This window comes from Homo sapiens, chromosome 2 (assembly GCF_000001405.40).
Source record: "Homo sapiens chromosome 2, GRCh38.p14 Primary Assembly".
NCBI lineage: Eukaryota > Metazoa > Chordata > Mammalia > Primates > Hominidae > Homo > Homo sapiens.
The window spans coordinates 160,007,072-160,027,552 of NC_000002.12; the positions used below are offsets into that span (position 1 = coordinate 160,007,072).

At 40.2% G+C, this 20,481-nt stretch overlaps 1 protein-coding gene across 16 annotated transcripts in view; it reads right to left on the reverse strand.

Annotated features, from left to right (window-relative positions):
* Positions 1-20,481, reverse strand: part of PLA2R1 (phospholipase A2 receptor 1) — a 138,683-nt gene that overhangs the window by 83,139 nt on the left and 35,063 nt on the right. For all 16 annotated transcript variants that reach the window (XR_922892.4, XR_007071491.1, XR_001738672.3 and 13 more), the window contains exons 7-10: positions 15,594-15,788; positions 13,035-13,192; positions 9,543-9,641; positions 6,192-6,304 (exon numbers count right to left, since the gene is read on the reverse strand). Coding sequence is in view for 11 of the 16 variants with exons in the window: in XM_047443729.1 (XP_047299685.1) it covers positions 6,192-6,304; positions 9,543-9,641; positions 13,035-13,192; positions 15,594-15,788 (565 nt within the window). In the remaining 5 variants the exon portion in view is untranslated. The remainder of the gene's footprint in view (positions 1-6,191; positions 6,305-9,542; positions 9,642-13,034; positions 13,193-15,593; positions 15,789-20,481) is intronic.

The following is a 20,481-nucleotide window of genomic DNA, read 5'->3' on the forward strand; positions in this document are numbered from 1 at the left end:
CCTAAATAGCACACATTTGAAACAAGAAAAGTTCTTTTTTTAATCCAGATCATACTGGCAGAACCTTATATAAATGTGCTTCAAAAGGAACATATAGAAGACTAAATATTGCCTACATGCTGTTGTAATTTTCCTTACACTTCTGTTGGTTCATGCTCTCAATAATATACGATCTGCTTTTCTCTATCTCCTCTGAGGCAGAGTAGTAATACCGGGTCAGGGAAGTGCTGGGAGGAGAAGGGCGGGGTCCCTGGTTAGGGCTCCACCCCCAGCCTCTGCCCCCAGACCTAGGTGAGGACAAGCATTTCTGTTTTCATGCCCAAATGTTGCATTTCCCAAGACCACCCTGGCTTGCCACACCCCCATCCTGTGCTTGTAAAATCCCCCGAGGCCTTAGCTGGAAGACAGACAAGCGGCTGGACATCCAGAGGAACACACCGGTGGAAGAGCACACCGACAGGCACTGGCAGATGCCGGCAGGCCGTCGACAGGAAGAACGATGTGGAGTTTGGCCAGAAGAAAGTTAAGAAAATAACTCCACTTACAATAGTGCCCCCAAAATACATGGGAATAAACTACACAAAGACTTGTATACTGAAAACTTGTATACTGAAAGGTGAAAGACTTGTATACTGAAAACTGCAAAATGGTGCTGAAGGAAATTAAAGAAGCCACAGAGAAATGGAAATAAATCCCGTGTTCATGCCTTGGAAGACTTAATATTGTTAAGATGCTCATACTACCTAAAGTGATGTATACATTCAATGCAATCCCTATCAAAATCCCAATGATATCTTTTTCAAAAATAGAAAAGTTCATCCTAAAATCCATATGGAAATTCAAGGAACCCTGAATAGCCAATATAATCGTGAAAAGAAACCAAGTTAGAGGTCTGACACTTTTTGATTTCCAAACTTACTACAAAGCTACAGTAATCAAGACAGTGTGGGCTGGGCATATTGGCTCATGCCTGTAATCTCAGCACTTTGGGAGACTGAGGCAGGCAGCCTGCTTGAGCCCAGGAGCTCAACACCAGCCTGGGAAACATAGTGAGATCCTGTCACTACAAAACATAAAAAACATTTGCTGTGGGTGGTGGTGTTAGATGCCTGTAGTCCCAGCTACTCGGGAGGTCGAGGCGGGAGGATGGCTTGAGCCCAGGAGGTCAAGGCTGCAGTGAGCTATGACTGAACCACTGTACTCCAGCCTGGGTGATAGAGTGAGACCCTGTCTCAAAAACAACAAAAACAAAACAAAAAACCAGTGTGGTACTAGCATAAACACTAACGCATAGGCCAGTGGAATAGACTAGGAATAAACCCTTGCATATATGTCAAATGATTATCAAGAATGGTGCCAAGACTGTTCAGTGCAGAAAGGACAGTCTTCTCAATAAACTGTGCAGGGAAAACTAGACAACCACTTGCAACAGAATGAAGTTAGACCCTTACCTTATACTATGCACAAAAATGAACTCAAAGTAGATTAAAGACCTAAACATGAGAGCTAAAACTATAAAACTCTTACAAGGAAACACAGGAAAAAGACTTCATAACATTGTATTTGGCAATGATTTCTTGTATATGATACCAAAAGCACAGGCAACGGAATAAGAAATTAATAAATTGGACTTTATAAAAATTAAAAACTTTGCACATCAAAGGACACTATCAACAGAATGAAAAGGCAACCCACAAAATGGGAGAAAGTATTTGCAAGTTGTACATCAGATAAGGGATTAATATCCAGAATATATTAAAAATTCCTATAACTAAACAATAGAAAAGACAAACATCCCAATTAAAAAATGGACAAAGGACTTGAATAGACATTTCTCCAAAGAAGATACACAGATAGCCAATAAGCACGTGAAAAGATGTTCAACATCATCAATCACCAGTGGAATGCAGATCAAAACCACAGTGAAATACCACTGCACACCCAATAGGATGGCTATTATCAAAACAAAACAACCAGATAATAGTAAGCATTGGCTAGGATGTGGAGAAACTGGAACCTTTATGCACTACTGGTGGGAATGGAAAATGGTGTAGCCATTATGGAAAAGAGTACAGTGGTTCCTTAAAAAATTTAAAATCAAATTATCATATGATCCAGCAATTTCACTTATAGGCATACATGCCAAAGAATTGAAAGCAGGGACTCGAAGGGTATTTGTACATTCATGTTCATGGTAGCATTAGTCACAATAGCCAAATGGTGGGAGCAACCCAAATGTCCATTAATGGATGAATGGATAAACAATATGTGTATATACATACAATGGAATATGAATTAGCCTTAAAACAGAATTTCCAGAAACGAAATTCTGACACTACAACATGCTAAATGAAATAAACCAGACACAGAAAAACATAATTCCACTTATATGAGACATGTAGAGTAGTTAAACTCACAGAGACAGAAAATAGAATAGTAGTTGCCAGGGTCTGGGAGGAGGGGAGAATAGGCAGCTATTGTTTAATGGGTACAGAGTTTCAGTTTGGGAAGATGAAAAAAGTTCTGGAGATGGATGATGGTAGTGGGTGAACAACAATCTGAATGCAGTTAATGACACTGAACTGCACACTGAAAAATGACTAACATGGTGAATTTTACGTTTATGTGTGTTTTACGTATATTTTACCACAATAAAAAAAATATTAACTGCAAAAGTGTTTTGGGGAGATATGACAGTTGCAGGAAAACGGTAGAGCTGTAAAAATGCTTTAAAATAATGCACATTTAAGCTTAGGAGGGGTATAGTGGCTCACACCTATAATCCCAGCACTTTGAGAGGCCGAGGCAGGAGGATTGCTTGAGCCCAGGAGTTCAAGACCAGCCATGGCAACATGGCAAGAACCTGTCTCTGTAAAAAATTTTAAAAAATTAGCCAGGCATGGTGGTACATGCCTGTAGTCCCAACTACTTGGGGGGCTGAGGCAGGAGGATTACTTGAGCCCAGGAGGTCAAAGCTGCAGTGAGTCATGAAGGCACCACTACACTCCAGCCTGGGCAACAGAGTAAGACACTGTCTCAAAAATAAATGAAAGTAAAATAAACTTAGGAGAAAATGAGATATTGCAGAATTTCTCACTTTTGGCAAAATTCACAAAATTGAATGCCATTTGGATTATTTTGTACCAATATTCTATGGCTGATTGATTCAAAATTTAGACATACATGGATTTAGCCAATTATCCATTATAATTTTGGAACTCAACTTTTGCATTCATGCTTTGTCTGGAAGCAAAGTGGCCAGGCCTGAAAAAATTTTGTAACAATCAGCAAGCAAACAAAAATTTGTTACTCAACAATAAGGATCTGTTTTTCTTCCCCTCTCTATTCCACAAAGTGTTAAAAGTCTTAGACCAGGAGCAGTTGCCTGATCACAAAAGAAATAAGTAATTTGTAGCAGGTGGTTCTAATTGTGCCCATCAAACCTGTCATTCCATTGTGCAGAAGAGTGGAAAATCGATTAGCAACTACAAGCTTGGGTACTGAAGAGTGACAGGAGTGTCTTAAACAGGAAATCAGTAATGGAAGAAAATGATTACCATGGCCACTAGTGGACACTCCTGGATCTGAGACACTTTCCATCTACTGCCCAACCTTCTCAGACAAAAGATGCTGTTTGCAAAAATTCCAACGTGTATGGTGAATCAAAAGCAGTACAGTGTGGACCCTTGTTTCTTCCCTGATGGACTCTGAATGATTAAAAACCAAGAGCATTGGCCCTTTCTTTCTTCAACTCATGAGTCCTGTGTTGGAGTTGCTGCTTTGAATGTAGACATGTTTTGGGGGTAGCATAAGTATATGTTAACTGACTTGGACAGATGACACATCCTGCTCATCTGTACTCCCTCAGGGCTTGGCGGGTGACCAGGCAGCACACCAGCACAGGGCAATCTGGACAGGCGTAGGAGGCCAAGACTGGGATAAAAACAAACTTCTCTATGCCATAGTTCTGCTTTACAGATGGACCAGGCATGAGCGCTGGCTACTGAATACAGTTTACCAGAGAAAACATTTAAAGTATTCACAACATAGTCTTGTATCCAGTTTTGGGGAAAATGAAACAGATTTTTTTCCCAGATACTTTCTGTCATTTGTATGAGGTCCCCAAAGGGTTCATGGAATATGAAGCATTTGTTCTAACAGATTTCTGCCTTAGCTTGGGTCACTGTGGCACTATGGGTTATCTGTAATGTCACTGTGAGTTTATCCATTTATTGTGCTATTCTACCTTCTTCACTTATTTCTTGTGTCTATGTTCGATCTCTTCAGCTGCTGGGTTTCAGAAAGCACTGGACAATAATAGCATGCCTTTTATTTCTTGTGGATAGCATGTCAGTGTTTAATATGGGGACTCTCACAAAACAGGTATTCAAAAAAAATTTTCTAATAAACTCTTGGCTATTAATTTTTTGTGTGGTCAGATAACATATGAAAAATAATTAACACAGTGCCAGGTATGTGACAGGCACTCAATGAACATTAAACAAAAAAATAAAGAATAAGACATAAAAAACAGGTGAAACAATTGGACTTATTTTCTTTGGTAAAAAACATAATTAAATTGTAATTAACAAAAGAGCGTATAGCTTCATTGGTCAGCCTCCTGTGAAGTCCAGTGTTGACTCACTGACTGGGGGACTTCCAACCCAAGGTGTTCTTGGAACCTTTTGGGTGAGTTAACAAATTGATAAAGGCTTTCTTCTGCCTGTTAGCCAAACCTGGGAGGAGAAAGGTAGAACTAAAAACAATGCTGAGATACATCAAAGGTAGTGCTATATTTCAACGGGAGGATCTCCTGAAAGTAAAATGTTTCACCAGGTGACTTAGTCTGCCAAATGCTATCAATCCATTTGAGTGTGTGTGTGTGTGCGTGTGTCTGTTTGTGTGTGTGTGTATGCATTCCTGTGCATTGTTTGGAACAGAAGCTGGGTAAGAAGGCAAGAAAGAGGGTAAGAGGAGGAAGGACATACTGGCAGCTTTGGATGTTGACTTCCAATGTGGGAGGAGCAGAGAAATCATACAGGAATTCCTCTACAAATTAGGCTTATATGGGAAGGGTCTCTAGGTAAAACCAGTTGTCCTATTTGCTGGTATTCAGTGAATATTTTTAAAGGCAATGGCCCAGGTAAATATGCAAGTGACTTGCTTTGCAGGTGTAGTTTCCTGTGGCACCACTGGAGTTCTACCCCGCTTCTGTCTTCCCCAGGAGGAGTGGGTCTCCCAGGTGTTCCAGCCCCCACTGTCCTCCTGGCATCGATACTAATATGAGGTCACCTTTACTCTTGGTATTTTTATCCCCTACAGGTATTATGCATCGGTACCATGGGGCAGATTGTATGGAGTGTAAAAAGGGCACAGTCTCTGTGCCAGCATCAGGAAGGCATATGTGCACAGAGAAGTCTCAATCTAAATAAAATAGATGGAAGAAGTGATGGTGAAGGATTTGAATATCCTCCACATTTTATAGCTTTTCTGCTAAAAACACCCCCATACAACTCACATACATTACATCAAAAAAATACTTGTTAAATAATGTGTTTTGGCTGGGCGCGGTGGCTCATACCTGTAATCCCGGCACTTTGGGAGGCTGAGGCAGGTGGATCACTTGAGGTCAGGAGTTCAGACCAGCCTGGCCAACATGGTGAAACCCCGTCTCTACTAAAAATACAAAAATTACCAGGGCGTGGTGGCAGGTGCCTGTAATCCCAGCTACTCATGGGGCTGAGGCAAGATAATTGCTTGAACCTGGGAGGTGGAGGTTGCAGTGAGCTGAGACTGCACCACTGCACTCCAGCCTGGGCAACAGAGCAAGATTCTGTCTCAAAAAAATGAAAAAAAATAAAATAAAAAATAAATAACGGGTTTCATTTCCCATATAAGCAGTTAGAAGATAAAATCTAAAAACATCTGAATATATTAGAAAAGCTGGATAATTAATAAATCTTTACAGATAGTAAAGGTCACCTTAAATTTTATTATTTATTACTCAAAAATCAATTCTGGAATAACATAGTATAATTTAAATTCATCTCAATAAATAACTTAAATAATTTAGTACTTTGATGTATAGCACAATTTAGATTTTGAACAGTTATGATTGTAGCTAGATTTTATCATTCCAAGAGTCCTCATGTGAAAGCCGTCTTGTTTCTGTTAAAAAAAGTTTAATTTACCTGTTTGTAATGGTTACAAGTGCAGGAGGACAGTAATAACCGCTGGAAGCTTGGTCAAAGCTTCGAAGGACTGTGTCAATTTTGTAACAGAATCCACCATGTCTCTCCCATCCCTTAAAAAGAATAAAAGGGAAATTAAGGACACAATCTCATTTAGTTAAATACCAAGAGATATTTTTGCATACTCTTTTACCACCTACATAACTTTCTTCTCTTACTCCTTTAAAACTCCTTGAATTTTTGTCTTGATATTTTTATATTTATTCTATCCAGTAATGCCATTAACTACACCCACTTCTACATTTATTTAATTTATTATCTTAAAACCTAAAATTTTTAATTAACTTAAAACGTAAAACCTTAAAAGTAAATGAAAATAAAGGGCATTCATTCAAGATCTCTACCTCTCTCTTTCTCTCTCTCTCTCTCTCTCTCTCTCTGTCTCTCTCTCTCTCTCTCTGTGTGTGTGTGTGTGTGTGTGTGTGTGTGTCTCTCTCTCTCTGACTTACAGAATTTCATATAAATGGTCCCGACAGGAGGGTAGAAATTAAGTGTTGGCTCTAGGGTCAGGATGCATGGGTTTGAATTCTGGCTCCACTACTGTGCAACCTTGTTTAATATCATAGTTTTTTCATCTATACGATGAGGATAATAATAGTATTTATGGGGTTGTTCTGAGAATCAGAGAAGGACAATACAGATAGAGATTTTAGAATTGAACAGAGGGGAAAGAGAACATGAACAAAGAGAATATATGTATCTAGATAATATTAGAGATTTTTTTCAACTTTCATATTGATTATTTCATGTTATCCCTCTGAGATTCATTGAGATTAGGGACTTGGATAAAGTCAAACTAGTGGATCAGTTGGGCCTGAAACCCAATTCTGGAACAGTCCAGGATGGTCTTGTTTGGAGCATAATGCTTCCAAATAGAGAATGGCCAATATATGTATTTTTTCTTTTTCTTTCTTTTTTTTTTTTTTTGTAAAGATTATTCCTAAATTAACTGGCTGGCCTTTTGGAGGGGAAGAAAGTAAGCTTTGGCACTCAGACAAAAATGACAAACATGTAGGTCTATGTTTTAGCCCTGGGAACAACGAAGGGTGGCTCTTCCTTTGAAATCATGCAGTACAGTCTATGGCCACACCACCCTGAATGTGCCCGATCTCATCTGAAATCACACAGTATGGTAAGACATACATTCATTAGTCCTCTATATTTAAACTGAGCTATTTTAGTTCTTTTTTCCCCAATATTATTAAATCACATCATTTTTATCTATTTTAATTTATTCACCAGTTTTAAAACACTCTTCATTTTATGCTATGCCAATTCTTGCCAGCTTTTGATCAGTTATAAAATGATTTCTCATAAATTTCTTGGAAAAGATGTTGGTCTTGCAGTAAATTAAAGAAAACCTTAATTTAGAGATCAGCTGTGTTAGTTCAAACATATCATTAACTGAGGTAGGAAGCACAGGAGCTCCCACATCCAGCCATCTAGGATCTGCTCTGAACTCACTCCCCTTCACTTCTATTCCCAATCTTCTCTCTGTGAGTAACTGACAGCTCCATACAGCTCCTTCATGCATCCCTCCAGGGTAGGAGCAGGGATATTAGACTGCTCCTGTACTTGGAAGGACAGGGAGAGGGAGGCTGGCAATTTGACCTTTCCGATAATGTATTCTTCTTCATTAGCAGTTTTTAGATCATAGGCTGCTTAGCAAAACAAACAAACAAAAAAATCCAATAACTGAACCAGCTCAAGAAAAGGGAGGGAAAAAAAGATCTGGCATAGAATAATCAGAAACACAGACTTGTTACTTCAAGACTTTGTCCACACAATGAATACGGGAAGGATAACTGATTATATCAGTTAACCCTTTGTACACTAGGTGCCATTTCATTTTTAAATGAAAGGATGGTGGTGACAAAACTGAAGGAATTGCTCATATTGTCCAATCCCAAAAAAGTGACTCAGAAGGAAAAACAAATCACTTCTTTTGCTTTGAAATTATCAAGATTGATTTTACAAATTGATTTTTCAAGTGCAGACTGTTTAGAGAATTGCATTGAAGCAACTTTCTAAAAAAGAGAAAACTTTCAAAACCATATTCATAGACTGATGCATAATAAAATTACTGGAAATTTCCTCACAAAGCTAGAGAATTGGCTATGAACTCAGAAACTTTAAATACTGGTAATGCTGGCTGGAAAAGGGAAGCCATGAACAAAAGTTTGAATAGAACATCAGTTCTGTATTTGCAGTGTAAAAAGTTAATTGTCCTTTCAACAAAAATAAAACACGCTGAGTTTCCCAGAAAGCCACAGTAAGACAAATCCCCCCACCCTCGCCCCTGCCCCGTCTTCAATATTTCATATCAGGTAGAGATTAATCAGAGATCAGCTATAACTAATTCAGAGATTATAATCATTAGATAAAATGGTGACATGTCAGCTACGGCATATCTACTATCCAACTAGAGTATGAAGTTCACATGTTTACACATTGATTAATGAATAAAATGAAGATTCTAAGGGGATGGGTCATTGTTCAATTGCAATACAAATAACTGGATTAGAAGAGAAAATAATTAAAGCATAGTTGCATAAAGACCAGGTCTGGAAAACTGTTGAGACTGATAAAGCATAGTTCACTCTGACTCAGAGGAACACAATTGTTTTATGACATCTCACTTGAAAACTAGGAAAACCATAAGTCAGGCACAGTGGCTGAAGCCTGTAATCCCGGTACTTTGGGAGGCTGAGGCAGTAGATCACTTGAGGTCAGGAGTTCGAGACAAGTCTGGCCAACATGGCAAAATCCCGTCTCTACTAAAAATACAAAAATTAGCCAGGCGTAGTGGCGCACGCCTGTAATCCCAGCTACTCGGGAGGCTGAGGCATGCGAATTGCTTGAGCCTGGGAGGTGGAGGTTGCAGTGAGCTGAGACTGTGCCACTGCACTCCAGCCTGGGTGACAAAGCAAGACTCTGTCTCAAAAAAAAAAAAAGAAAAAGAAAAAGAAAAGAAAGAAAGACTAGGAAAACCAAGTGTGAGACAGGGCATCACACATCACAGGATAGTCACTGTACAGATGCTGTATCAGGACCATTTACATTTTTAATCTCAAAAGAAAAGTAATCCTGTGTAGAAGATAGCAAGACAACATTTCTCAGGACAGGAAAAAAAAGAGGAAAGGAAAGAAGGGGGGGGTGCGAGGAGAGAGAGAGAGATGAAAGAGAGGAGAGAGAGAGAGGAGAAAGAGAAATTCACTTCAAATTGATGGTGGAATTGATATTCTAGCTATGAAGTCCCTGTACCTAAATTGCAATGTTAACAGCACTTACCTCTTGACATCCTGATTCAGCATCAGAGAGGACATGGCCTGCTTTTTTACAAATGTAAAAAAGTCTTTCTTCACAATTTTTGACTTTCCAGTGTCCCTCCTACGGAGAAAAATGTTACAAGAGAATGAATACACTCTGTGCTGATACCGATGGGCAATAGCAATTCTTATAAAAAAAATATGATGAATAATGTGCTCCCGCGTGGGATAATGTTTCAGGCGGCACTCTGCTTTGTCACGGAAAGGGTTGACACTTTGTCTAGGGAAAGGCCCTTCTCTCCAGCATGAGTTCCAAGGTGTGCAATCTGTAACTGGGTGGGCAGGAGAGAGGGAGCAACTATTAACAACTGGTGCTTCTTGATAGCTGCCATGTGCTAGGCTTAATGCAGGGCGATTTTCATATATTATCTCAATGTTCCAGTGAGGTAGGGATTATAATTCCCATTTTAAAGGTTAGAGTTAGCATTTTACATGGTCCTAGAGTCAGTAAAAATTGGAGCTAGGATTGATACCAAGGTCAGCCTGGCTTTCCATTAAGCTGTTCTCAATTTTTCTATGAAAAGATGGGATAGAGCCATGGTTCTCAATCTCGAGTGTGCTCCAGAAGCACCTGGAGGGCTAACTGAAACCTAGATGATTGGGCTGCATGACCAGTGTCTCATTTGGTAGGTCTGGTGGGACTTGAGAATTGGCATTCCTAACAAGTTTTCAGGTGATGTTAATGCTGCTGGTCTGGGGGTCACACTGTGAGAACCACTGGGATGAAGCCATCCTCCTGACCAAGTGAGAGTGCTGACGCCTCTCTTCAACCACTTCTAAGTGTTACATTAAATGCTTTGCTGCTTTCATGTCTCTACCTGATGCTGGGGAAATTCCTGGAAGCTACCATGAAACACCCTAGGTAATATTGGCATAGCTGAAACTCATGTTCACCCTTCAATGATCCCTCCATCAGGAATTCGAACAGCACCACCCCATCTCCTCTTTATATGCTAGGCAGATACCTTCATGTCTTTCTCTAATCCTATTGAAGGCTACTCTCAGATCTTTCATTAATAATGATATAATAACTGCTAACATATTAAAATTTTATCCTCCCATAGGATTTTTTAATAACACAAATCAGAACCTTAGGCTAAAGTTACACAATTCAAATTCCAGGTGGTATTTCACACATCTAGAATTTTAGGGGAATGTGGAGCCCTTCCATGACCCTTAGAAAAATACAACGTCCAGGGCTGATACCTTCATCTGTAAGAGGAGCCCTGCATCGCTCCCCCATGGAGTCTTCCAGCAAACAATCCAGTTACAGGATAGTGTCAGGCATACTATAGTTAAGAACTGTTAGATGAATGGAAGAACAAATGAATTGTTTCCTAGGCTCTCATATTCAAATTTGTGTCAACTGTGATTGGGGAACTTGTTAATTATAATAATTATATTCATACTAAGTTCTACTCCATGGAAATAAATGTTAATTTTTACACATCTACTATTTAAGGAGCTTCTGAGCTTCCAGAAAAGGGGCCATAAAATATTACACTTACGGCAGCATTGTCCTGACATATCCAATACTATTAATACCTATCATCAATCTCTTAAAAAAAAATCTCTGTCCAAATATTGGCTCCTGTTCTGTAAACTTGCAGAGCAACATACCCATGCCTGTCAATAAGAAATGATCACCTAAATTATATCAAAACTAATGAACCAATAAATCAGCAGATACTGTAGAATAAACTGTGGTGGGCCAGGCGCGGTTGCCCATGCCAGTAATCACAACACTTTGGGAGGCCAAGGATGGTAAAGTCCAGGAGTCTGAGACCAGCATGGGCAACATGAAACCCCATGTCTACTAAAAATACAAAAATTAGCCAGGCATGCTGGTGCAAGCCTGTAATCCCAGCTACTTGGGAGGCTGAGGCATGAGAATCTCTTGAATCCAGGAGGCAGAGGTTGCAGTAAGCTGAGATTGCACCACTGCACTCCAGCCTGGGTGACAGAGTGAGACTCTGTCTCAAAAACAAACAAACAAACAAACAAACAAACAAACAAACATTGTGGTGGATTTCAGCAGAGCTAGACCCAGGACAGACATTTAGAGGTATTGTTTCTCCTTTATATGGGGCTGAGAGACACTGCCTTAGCATGTATAATTGTTACTGCACTGTACAATTGTAATTGTCTGTGCTAGCATTAAAAGATGGAACCATGAAACATGTCACAAAAGTTAAGTGCTTAGAAATGCTTCCTGTTTTGCTGGCATAATTACTTTGTCAAGCCACATCAGTAACATTTAATAAACTGCCTCTTCGGAGAACCTGACAGAGTATCCTGGTGGTTAGAAGAACATGGACATCTACCAAATCCCAACAACCCCCTAAAACTCAGCCAGTGTATTCAGCAGCTATCTTGATCAAAGAGATTAAGTCTGTTTTAGGCATAATAAACTGTTCAAATGGCTTGGGATTAAGCTAATTCTGTATAATCAGATGCTTTAGATAAATGAGAGACTAGAACATAGGGATGAATGTGATGTTCAGGCTACTGGGACCACTCCATCCACATGAGGAAAAAAAGCAAGATTTGCCACTGATCCACAATTTTCAAAGAGGTTACACATACTGTTTAAATCCTTTTATGTGAATAACATAATGGAGCTTAAAAACCATCACTCTCCAGAGTAATCTTCCATCCCTCAGTTCTTCCCCTCATCTTCATCACAGCAGTCAATGGCACCACCATACACCAAAACCATGGTTGCTCAAGCCAAAAGCCGACCTCTCTCTCACCCCCACATCTAACTTAGCAACACCTTCTGTTCTCCAAAGCACACTTGGATCTGTCCACTTCTCTTCACAGTCACTACCCTAAGTCAACTCTGGTGTAGCCTCCAAACTGGCTTTTCTGCTTCCATTTTATTCCTCTCCTAACCATTCTCTGTGTAGCAGCCACAGTTAATTGTAAAATGTAAATCAGGTCATGCCCTTTGTTTCCTTGAAGTACTTTATTGGTTCCTATACCACAGTCTAGAAACCTGGCATTTTAGAATTCCTACTGCCCATCTCTTACGACCTCCTCACCACTGGTCTCCTTTTTGATCATTCAACATGGCAAGTCTTGGTCTGCCTTTGGGCCTTTGCACTTGCTACCCTCTGCATGTTCTGCTTAGAATATTCTTCCCCCTTCTCTCTGAGAGTTTTTTTTTAAGTCCAAGCTTAAATATTAACTTTTCAGAAATGCTTTCTGTGGCTGTCCTGTCCTGCCCCAACCCAAGCTTTTCACTATCATGTCACATAGTTCCTTGGAGCAATCATTACAACTATAATTACCATGTTTTTTCTGTGTGTACTTGTTTGCTCTCTAACATGGAAGGCCCATGAGGAACAGGGACTGCACCTGTCTTGGTCTCTGCCACAGCCCAAAGCTCCAACACAGGTGGCCTTCAGTACAAGACCAGCAAAGTGAGCACTGAACAAATGAATCAACTTACAGACTGCTCTGCTGAGACACACAGCTGGCTTCTATTTGGAAAAATGTGGGGCTCAAGTGTGTGCCAATTAGTAAAGATGACTGAAGAGTCATTAGACCATTCAAAGGAAACTGGAATTTTATTGCTGCTCAAACCAATCCATGTTTCTGATGCATTTTCTGTAAGAGATAAATGTAAATTACTTATGGGATCCTATTATTTGCAAAGGAGATAACACCCTGGAGTTATTACTAAAATATACCACTTCACATGTGATTTCTTCTTTATTTCTTTGCATGATGAAATCTGTTTAAGTCTTGGTATAAAATGTCTGTTTAAACATTTTCCCTTCCCTGCTATGGTTTGAATGTTTGTCCCCTCCAAAATTCAGGTTGAAACTTAATCCCCAGTGTGGTAGTATTGAGAAGGAGGCCTCTAAGGGGTGAATGGGTCATGAAGGCTCTGCCCTGATGAATGGATTAATGGGCTAATGGATTAACTAGTTCTCATGGGAATGGTACTGGTGGCTTTATAAGAGGAGGAAGAGAGACCTGAGATAGCACACTCAGCCCCCTCTCCATGTGATGCCCTGTGCCACCATGGGACTCTGCAGAGAATCCCCACCAGCAAGGAGATCCTCTCCAGATGTGGTCCTTTGACCTTGAACTTCCCAGCCTCCATAACTGTAGGAAATAAATTTCTTTTATTTATAAATTACTCAGTTTCTTTGTATTCTACTATAATCAATAGAAAATGGACTAAGACATCCCCATAATATCCAGATCTGCTTGATATAGGCCTTATAAGTGAGGCAGAATGTGAGCTAAAGCCAATGCAACAACAAAGCCTAAGCAAGTTGGATTCCTGGGGCTCTGGTTTCTGCTAGAACCATGTATGTATGTTAAGCAGATCTGAAAAATCTGGTTTTGCTTCTGCCTAGAGAAAGGAAAAATAGGAAGGCCCACTGGATTATGAAAAGGGCATGAAACAAACAAACTTTTAATGATAGTCTAGCTTAAAGATAGGAGTTTTTTTTTCCCCAACAGATGTTGGTGAGGATGCAAAAAAAGGAACACTTATACACTATTGGTGGGAATGTAAATTAGTACAACATTTATGGAAAACAGTACTGGGATTACTCAAAGAACTAAAAATAGAACTACCTTTCAATCCAGCAATCCCACTACTGGGTATATACCCAAAGGGAAAAAAATCATTATATCAAAAAGACACCTGTACTCATATGTTTATCACAGCATTATTCACAATAGCAAAGATGGAATCATGTAAGTATCCATCAGAGGAGGGTTGGATAAAGAAAATATGGTATATATATATACACATACACATACCATGGAATACTACTCAGCCATAGAAAAGAATGAAATCATATCTTTCGCACACAGGTAGCACTTGAGGCGATTCTGCTAAGTGAAATAACTCAGAATGTCAAATACTGCGTGTTCTTACTTATAAGTGGGAGCTAAACAATGGGGACACATGGAGATACAGAGCAGGATAAAAAACACTGGAGATTCCAAAAGGTAGCAGAGGTGAGGCTGAGGGTTGAAAAATCACCTGTTGGGTACAATGTTCACCATCCAGGTGATGGGGCCACTAAGAGGCCAGACTTCACCACTGCAATATATGCATGTAAGAAATACTCACTTGTACCTCTTAAACCTATTTTTTAAAGTATTTTTTTCCTTTTTCTTTTTTCTGCCATAGGAAAAAAGGAGCAAAACCTCTTAAAGGCATTGAAATGGAGTTGCTGCAAAAGTAATTAAAACTTGACAGCCTAGGTAGGAAAGGACCCTATGTGGCTGAAAGAGATGTGTAAGTGCCCTTGTTGAGATAAGCAGCCCACAGGGTTCTTTAATCCCAAATGCAAATGATTAGGAAAAATAACAGAGAAGGATGCATGTTTTTACTCCAAACTAAAATGTAACAATTGAAAAGGTCATCAAAGGAGATCCTGGACATTTTTTTGTATTTTTAAAAAACTGAAAAATGAAATAAATAATTTCAGTATTTTTCAGCATAAGTCTATGTCAAATACATGACACAGTGAAGAGCAGGCCAACTCTGAGGGACTCAGGCTGTGCGGAAGCCAGGAGCCTAAAATTCCTATACATGGGGAACAGTCTGAACATCACCTCACCAAATAAATTACCCATGTTCACTGGCTAAAATTGTTTACATCTAATTATTTGCCTAAGGGGTTCCCTTTATTATGTGGATTACATGTTAACAATACACTACTGCTATCTAGTGGCCATAAAGCTAAATTACAGGTTTAGGTTTTTCATTAGAAGTTTTAGGAAATGAACTTTCCTACTTTCCAAAAATTTAAAAATCATCTAATATATGTGGCATATATGAAGATGTTACAAAGTTTCTGAACATGTATTTTGTAAAAATCCAATAAATTTGAACTCCTGAATAACATTTAGAAACTTTAAATATATGTGCAATGAATAACCACTTTTAAATAGCTTAAATTTCTTTTCAACTCCACTAATAAAAGTAGTTACTACATTATATTTTATGCCTTTTAAACCAAAGGCAGCTGGGACTCACCATCTCCAAGGAGGGTTACAAGAAACTCCACCTCTGCTAATGAGGTTATGTCTATTAATGCACTGTTATCAGCCTGACAAGAACGCAGAGCCTCATGCCAGGTCTTTTCTTCTTTCTGAAGTTTGTAGCAATTACGATTGTAGGGATTCCAGCCAGGCTCACAGTGGGTAGCATAATATTTCCACGCATCTTTTTCTTTTTAAACCAACAAAAAACAATGTCATTTTCCACAATTATTTTAACATTACTTATTACAGCTTATGTAAATTGCCATTAATATGATTACTTTAAAAATGTGAAAAACAGAAATATACAAAATGACATATATCATGGAATTCTAGATCTTCAGAGTTGAGAAGGGTCTAATCTATGATCTAGATTTAGATCTAGGATCAAATGAACCTCAGTATTTCATTTTCCGGATGAGCTAGTGAAGGTACAAAGAAGTAAGGAGAGGAGGGATGGCAGCAAGATGGCCGATAGAGACACCTGTGTCAGAGGCCTTTGAACAACAGCAACTCCATCTTGTTTAGGAGCTGGGTAAAATAAGGCTGAGACCTACTGAGCTGCATTTCCAGGAGGTCAGGCATTCTAAGTTACAGGATGAGACAGAAAGTCTCATCAAGAAAGCTTGCTAATAAAACAAGCTGCAGTAAAGAAGCTGGCCAAAACCCATCAAAACCAAGACGGTGAGGAAGGTGACCTCTGGTCATCCTCGCTGCTCATTATATGCTAATTATAATGTATTAGCATGCTAAAAGACACTCCCACCAGTGCCATGACAGTTTACAAGCTGTGGCAACATCAGGAAGTTACCCTACATGGTCTAAAAGGGGGAGGAACCCTCAGTTCCGAAAATTGTATACCCCGTTCCCAGAAAACTCATGAATAATCTACCCCTTGTTTAGCATATAATCGAGAAAGAACTGTAAGTGTAATCAGCTGAGCAGCCCAAGCTGCTGCTCTGCCTATGGAGTAGCCATTCTTTATTCCTTTACTTTCCTAATAAACTTGCTTTCCTTTTATGGATTCGCCTCCAATTCTTTCTTGGGGTTTGGATCAGGACCCCTTTCTGGTAACACCTGGGATCTCATCCCTGCCACAGGAACAGCCAAAGCAATGAATAAATGACTACATTTTCACGAAGGCAGCTGAAGGAGAGTGCTGGAGCACATCAAGGGAGTAGCAGAAACAACACGGAGCACAGAAACCCTTGCTGCCCCCACCCCCACCATCTCCCCCAACCCCCGTTATAAGCAGCTCAGAGCCAGGAGAGACTTCTCTCTGTAAGGAAAGGAAGAGCAAGGGGACCCTAGCAGCCTCCAACACCACCAGGGTCACCTACAGTTCTTGCCACTGAGGACCCCTGCAGCCCCCACAGGCACTAAGCCCATTTGAGGGAGCTGCCTGGAGTCTACAGGACTATGCTTGCCTCAGAGAAAGTTCTGATGCTGCACCCTGTCTCTCTGTGGACTATGGGTCTATTGCGCTGCACAATGTTGAAAAAAGAACCACTGCTAGAATGTCATGTTCTGCTCCAGTAGTGAGTAGCCACAGCACCCCTCCATCCTTGAGGCTTTGTAACCACTGCACCACTTCTACCTCGTGGCCCACCATCCCCATGCCAAGCTGCTGTGGGGCTCTCACTCTACCTGGTGTGGCCAAGTTGCCACGAGCTGCTCCATCTACCCTTCCTGGTTGTTGCTGTGCTGTGCCCCTCAGAGCCTGAGCTGGCTTATCACCCTGCCTCCAAAGAAATGGTGCCTTGGCCTCCCAGAGTAGTCATGTTCCCCAGTGTGTGTGCTGAAGTGGCACCCTGCCTCCCAGGGAATCCCTACCCTGGCTGCCCAAAACAGTCACACCCCAGGCACCTGAGCTGAAGTGGCTCTCAAATCCAGGGGAAACAGTGCTTTAGCTGCCCAAAGCAGTCATACCCCCCAGCACCTAAGCTGAAGCAGCCCCATCTCATGGGGGAATGGGTGCCTTGGCTGAGCTGAGCAGAGCAGCTGTGCCTTGTAGGGCTTGGCTGATGTGGTACCCTGCATCCAAGGGAAACAGCATTGGCAAGGCTGGGACATCCTGCCCTCCAACACAAACAGCTGTAGCACCTTGCCTTCCTGGAACTGGACTAGTCCCACAAAGCCTGAACTGCTGAGGCACCCCACCTTCCCAGGGAGAGGAGTCATCATTTTGCTGCTCCTTGACCCCCAGGAAACAAACCACAGGTATATGCCACCATTCCTGGGTCCTTGCTGCTACTGAACCTGACCTCACAGAGCCTGAGATACTGCTGTGTCCCACCACCCCAGGGTCCGGAGTCACCACTGCCTGGTGCTTCATCCCCTAGAGCTTGAGTTGCCACTGTGCCATACTGGTTCTGCTTCCCAAGTTACAGCCGTGCCCTGTTCCCTGGAGCCAAACCTCCAGAGTACCCCTTCTTCCTTGGAGGTAAATATATAGTCAAATTCAGAATGTTCAAATACCGTAATGGTGGTCTGTAAATCATTTATATCTCTACTATGAAGATTAAAGTCAAAATTGTCAAAAATAGATTGGGCACAGTGGCTCATGGCTGTAATCCCAGCACTTTGGGAGGCTGAGGTGGGAGGATGACTTGAACCCAGGAGGTCAAGCTATGATCATGCCACCATATTCCAGCCTGGGCAACAGTGCAAGACACCGTCTCTAAAGCATAAATAAATAAGTAAATAAATAAATAACCAAGATGGTAAAACATAACTATAGCTACAATAAATTAAGAAATGCACGATATTAAAAGATGTAAATAGCGACATCAAAATTTTAACTATTGGGGGTAGGGTAAAAATCTAGAGTGATTGTATGCAACTAAAGTTAAGCAGTTATCAGTATAAAACAGTCCATTATAACTATGTTTTATGTAAGCCACATGGTAACCATAAAGCAAAAAAAAAAAAAAAAAAAAAACTATAGCAGATACACAACTGATAAAGAGAAAGGAATTGAAATTTAGCACCACACACACACACAAATCACCAAATCACAAAGGTAAACAATAAGAGAGGAAGGAAGAAACAAAGAATCTATAAAACAAGCAGAAAACAATGAAAAAAATGGCAGTAGTAAGTCTTTACCTATCGGAATAATTACTCTGAATGCAAATGGATTAAATTATCTAATCAAAACACAGAATGGCTGAATGGATAAAATGTTATAGGAGTCAACGAGAGAAAATGAGCAGAGGTAGGAAAAAGGATACAAGTAGCAGATATGTAGGATGAACAAGTCTGAAGGTCTACTGTACAGCATGAGGACTATAGTTAATGTAGTGTATTCAGGATTTTTGATAAATGAGCAGACTATAGTTGCTCTTGTCACAGTGGGGGAAATGGGTAACTAAGTGAGATGATGGATGTGTTAATTTGTTTCACTAAGATAACCATTTTACTATCTATATATGTATCCTATGACATCATGTTGAATACTTTGAACATACACAGTCAATTTTATTTTAAAAAATAGTAAAAAAGTAAAACAACAACAACAAAACCAAAGAAGTAAAGAGACTTGACAGAGGACATACAATGAAAGCAGAGTGTTGGGGCTAGATATAAAATTTAACAGAGCTGCTCATTTTTGAAACCTTTTTATATTTAAAAGAAGTATTATGGAATACAATTTAAATGGTATTCCAAGGATTTTATACATAGTATGTGGGTAAGGTAGATATTTATCCCCAGCTGAAAAGAGCCTAAAACTCTGATGACTTCCTTTAAAATGGGGATGACAAATAGGTTTCACTTTGAAAATAAGTCTTGAGTGTCCACGATGTTGCTCTGGGCTGATATGGACTCCAGGTGGGGCTTTCAGGAACACAGTGCCATGATGTTTTGGACATTGGAGGGCAGTGGTGATGCACATGCTTATTTTGGCTTTCCTTTCTCACGAGACTGTCCCCAATCTGATGATGGCATTTTTACCTTATTTTATTAACCACAACGAGGTGCCTCCATTAAGAACGAATCTAGTTAAACTAAATATGATTTCACTGCTATTTGGGAAACAAAACATTCTTTTAAAATTGTTTCTAGGACTCTGGCAGCAATTAGAATCATGGCCAAAGAGTGTTAGAACTTTGTATATCATTGACCCCAATGGTTTTCAGCCTAAAAAAGCACTCATGAAATCCTTTTTGAACTTGGAATTTTAGGCTGCGCGTGGTGGCTCACGCCGTAATCCCAGCACTTTGGGAGGCTGAGGTGGGCGGACTGCCTCAGGTCAGGAGTTCGAGACCAGCCTGGCCAACATGGTGAAACCCCGTCTCTATAAAAATACAAAAATTAGCCGGGCGTGGTGGCAGGTGCCTGTAATCCCAGCTACTCGAGAGGCTGAGGCAGAATTGCTTGAACCCAGGAGGCGGAGGTTGCAGTGAGCCAAGATCGTGCCATTGCACTCCAGCCTGGGCCACAAAAGCAAGACTTCAATCAATCCACAGAAGAATGTGTTGAACTTGAAGCAAAGCAAATAATCCAAACAAGCTAACTTAACTACTCCCATTTCTGGTCTTCTGACCTCAATTAGCAGATAGAAGGATAAATATAACAGAAGGAAAGAAGGGTGGCAGGAGGGAATGCAAGATGGCATAAGAAGGAAAGAAAGAAAAAATGAAAAGAGAAGGAACGGAGAAAGGAATATGAAAGAAGGAAGAGAGGGAGGGAAAAGGACAATAACAGGTGGTAGCAATTTCAGCAAATTCCTGAAATAATGGAAAAATCTCTACATAAAAAAATGACAAGTTGCTTCTTCTTTCCCCAGCTTGTACCCCATATTCTACAAAACTTCTAGGCTTAGCTATTTAAAGGAAAATGAAAGTTAAAACCCAATTCTAAGAGACAATATTTAAAAATGA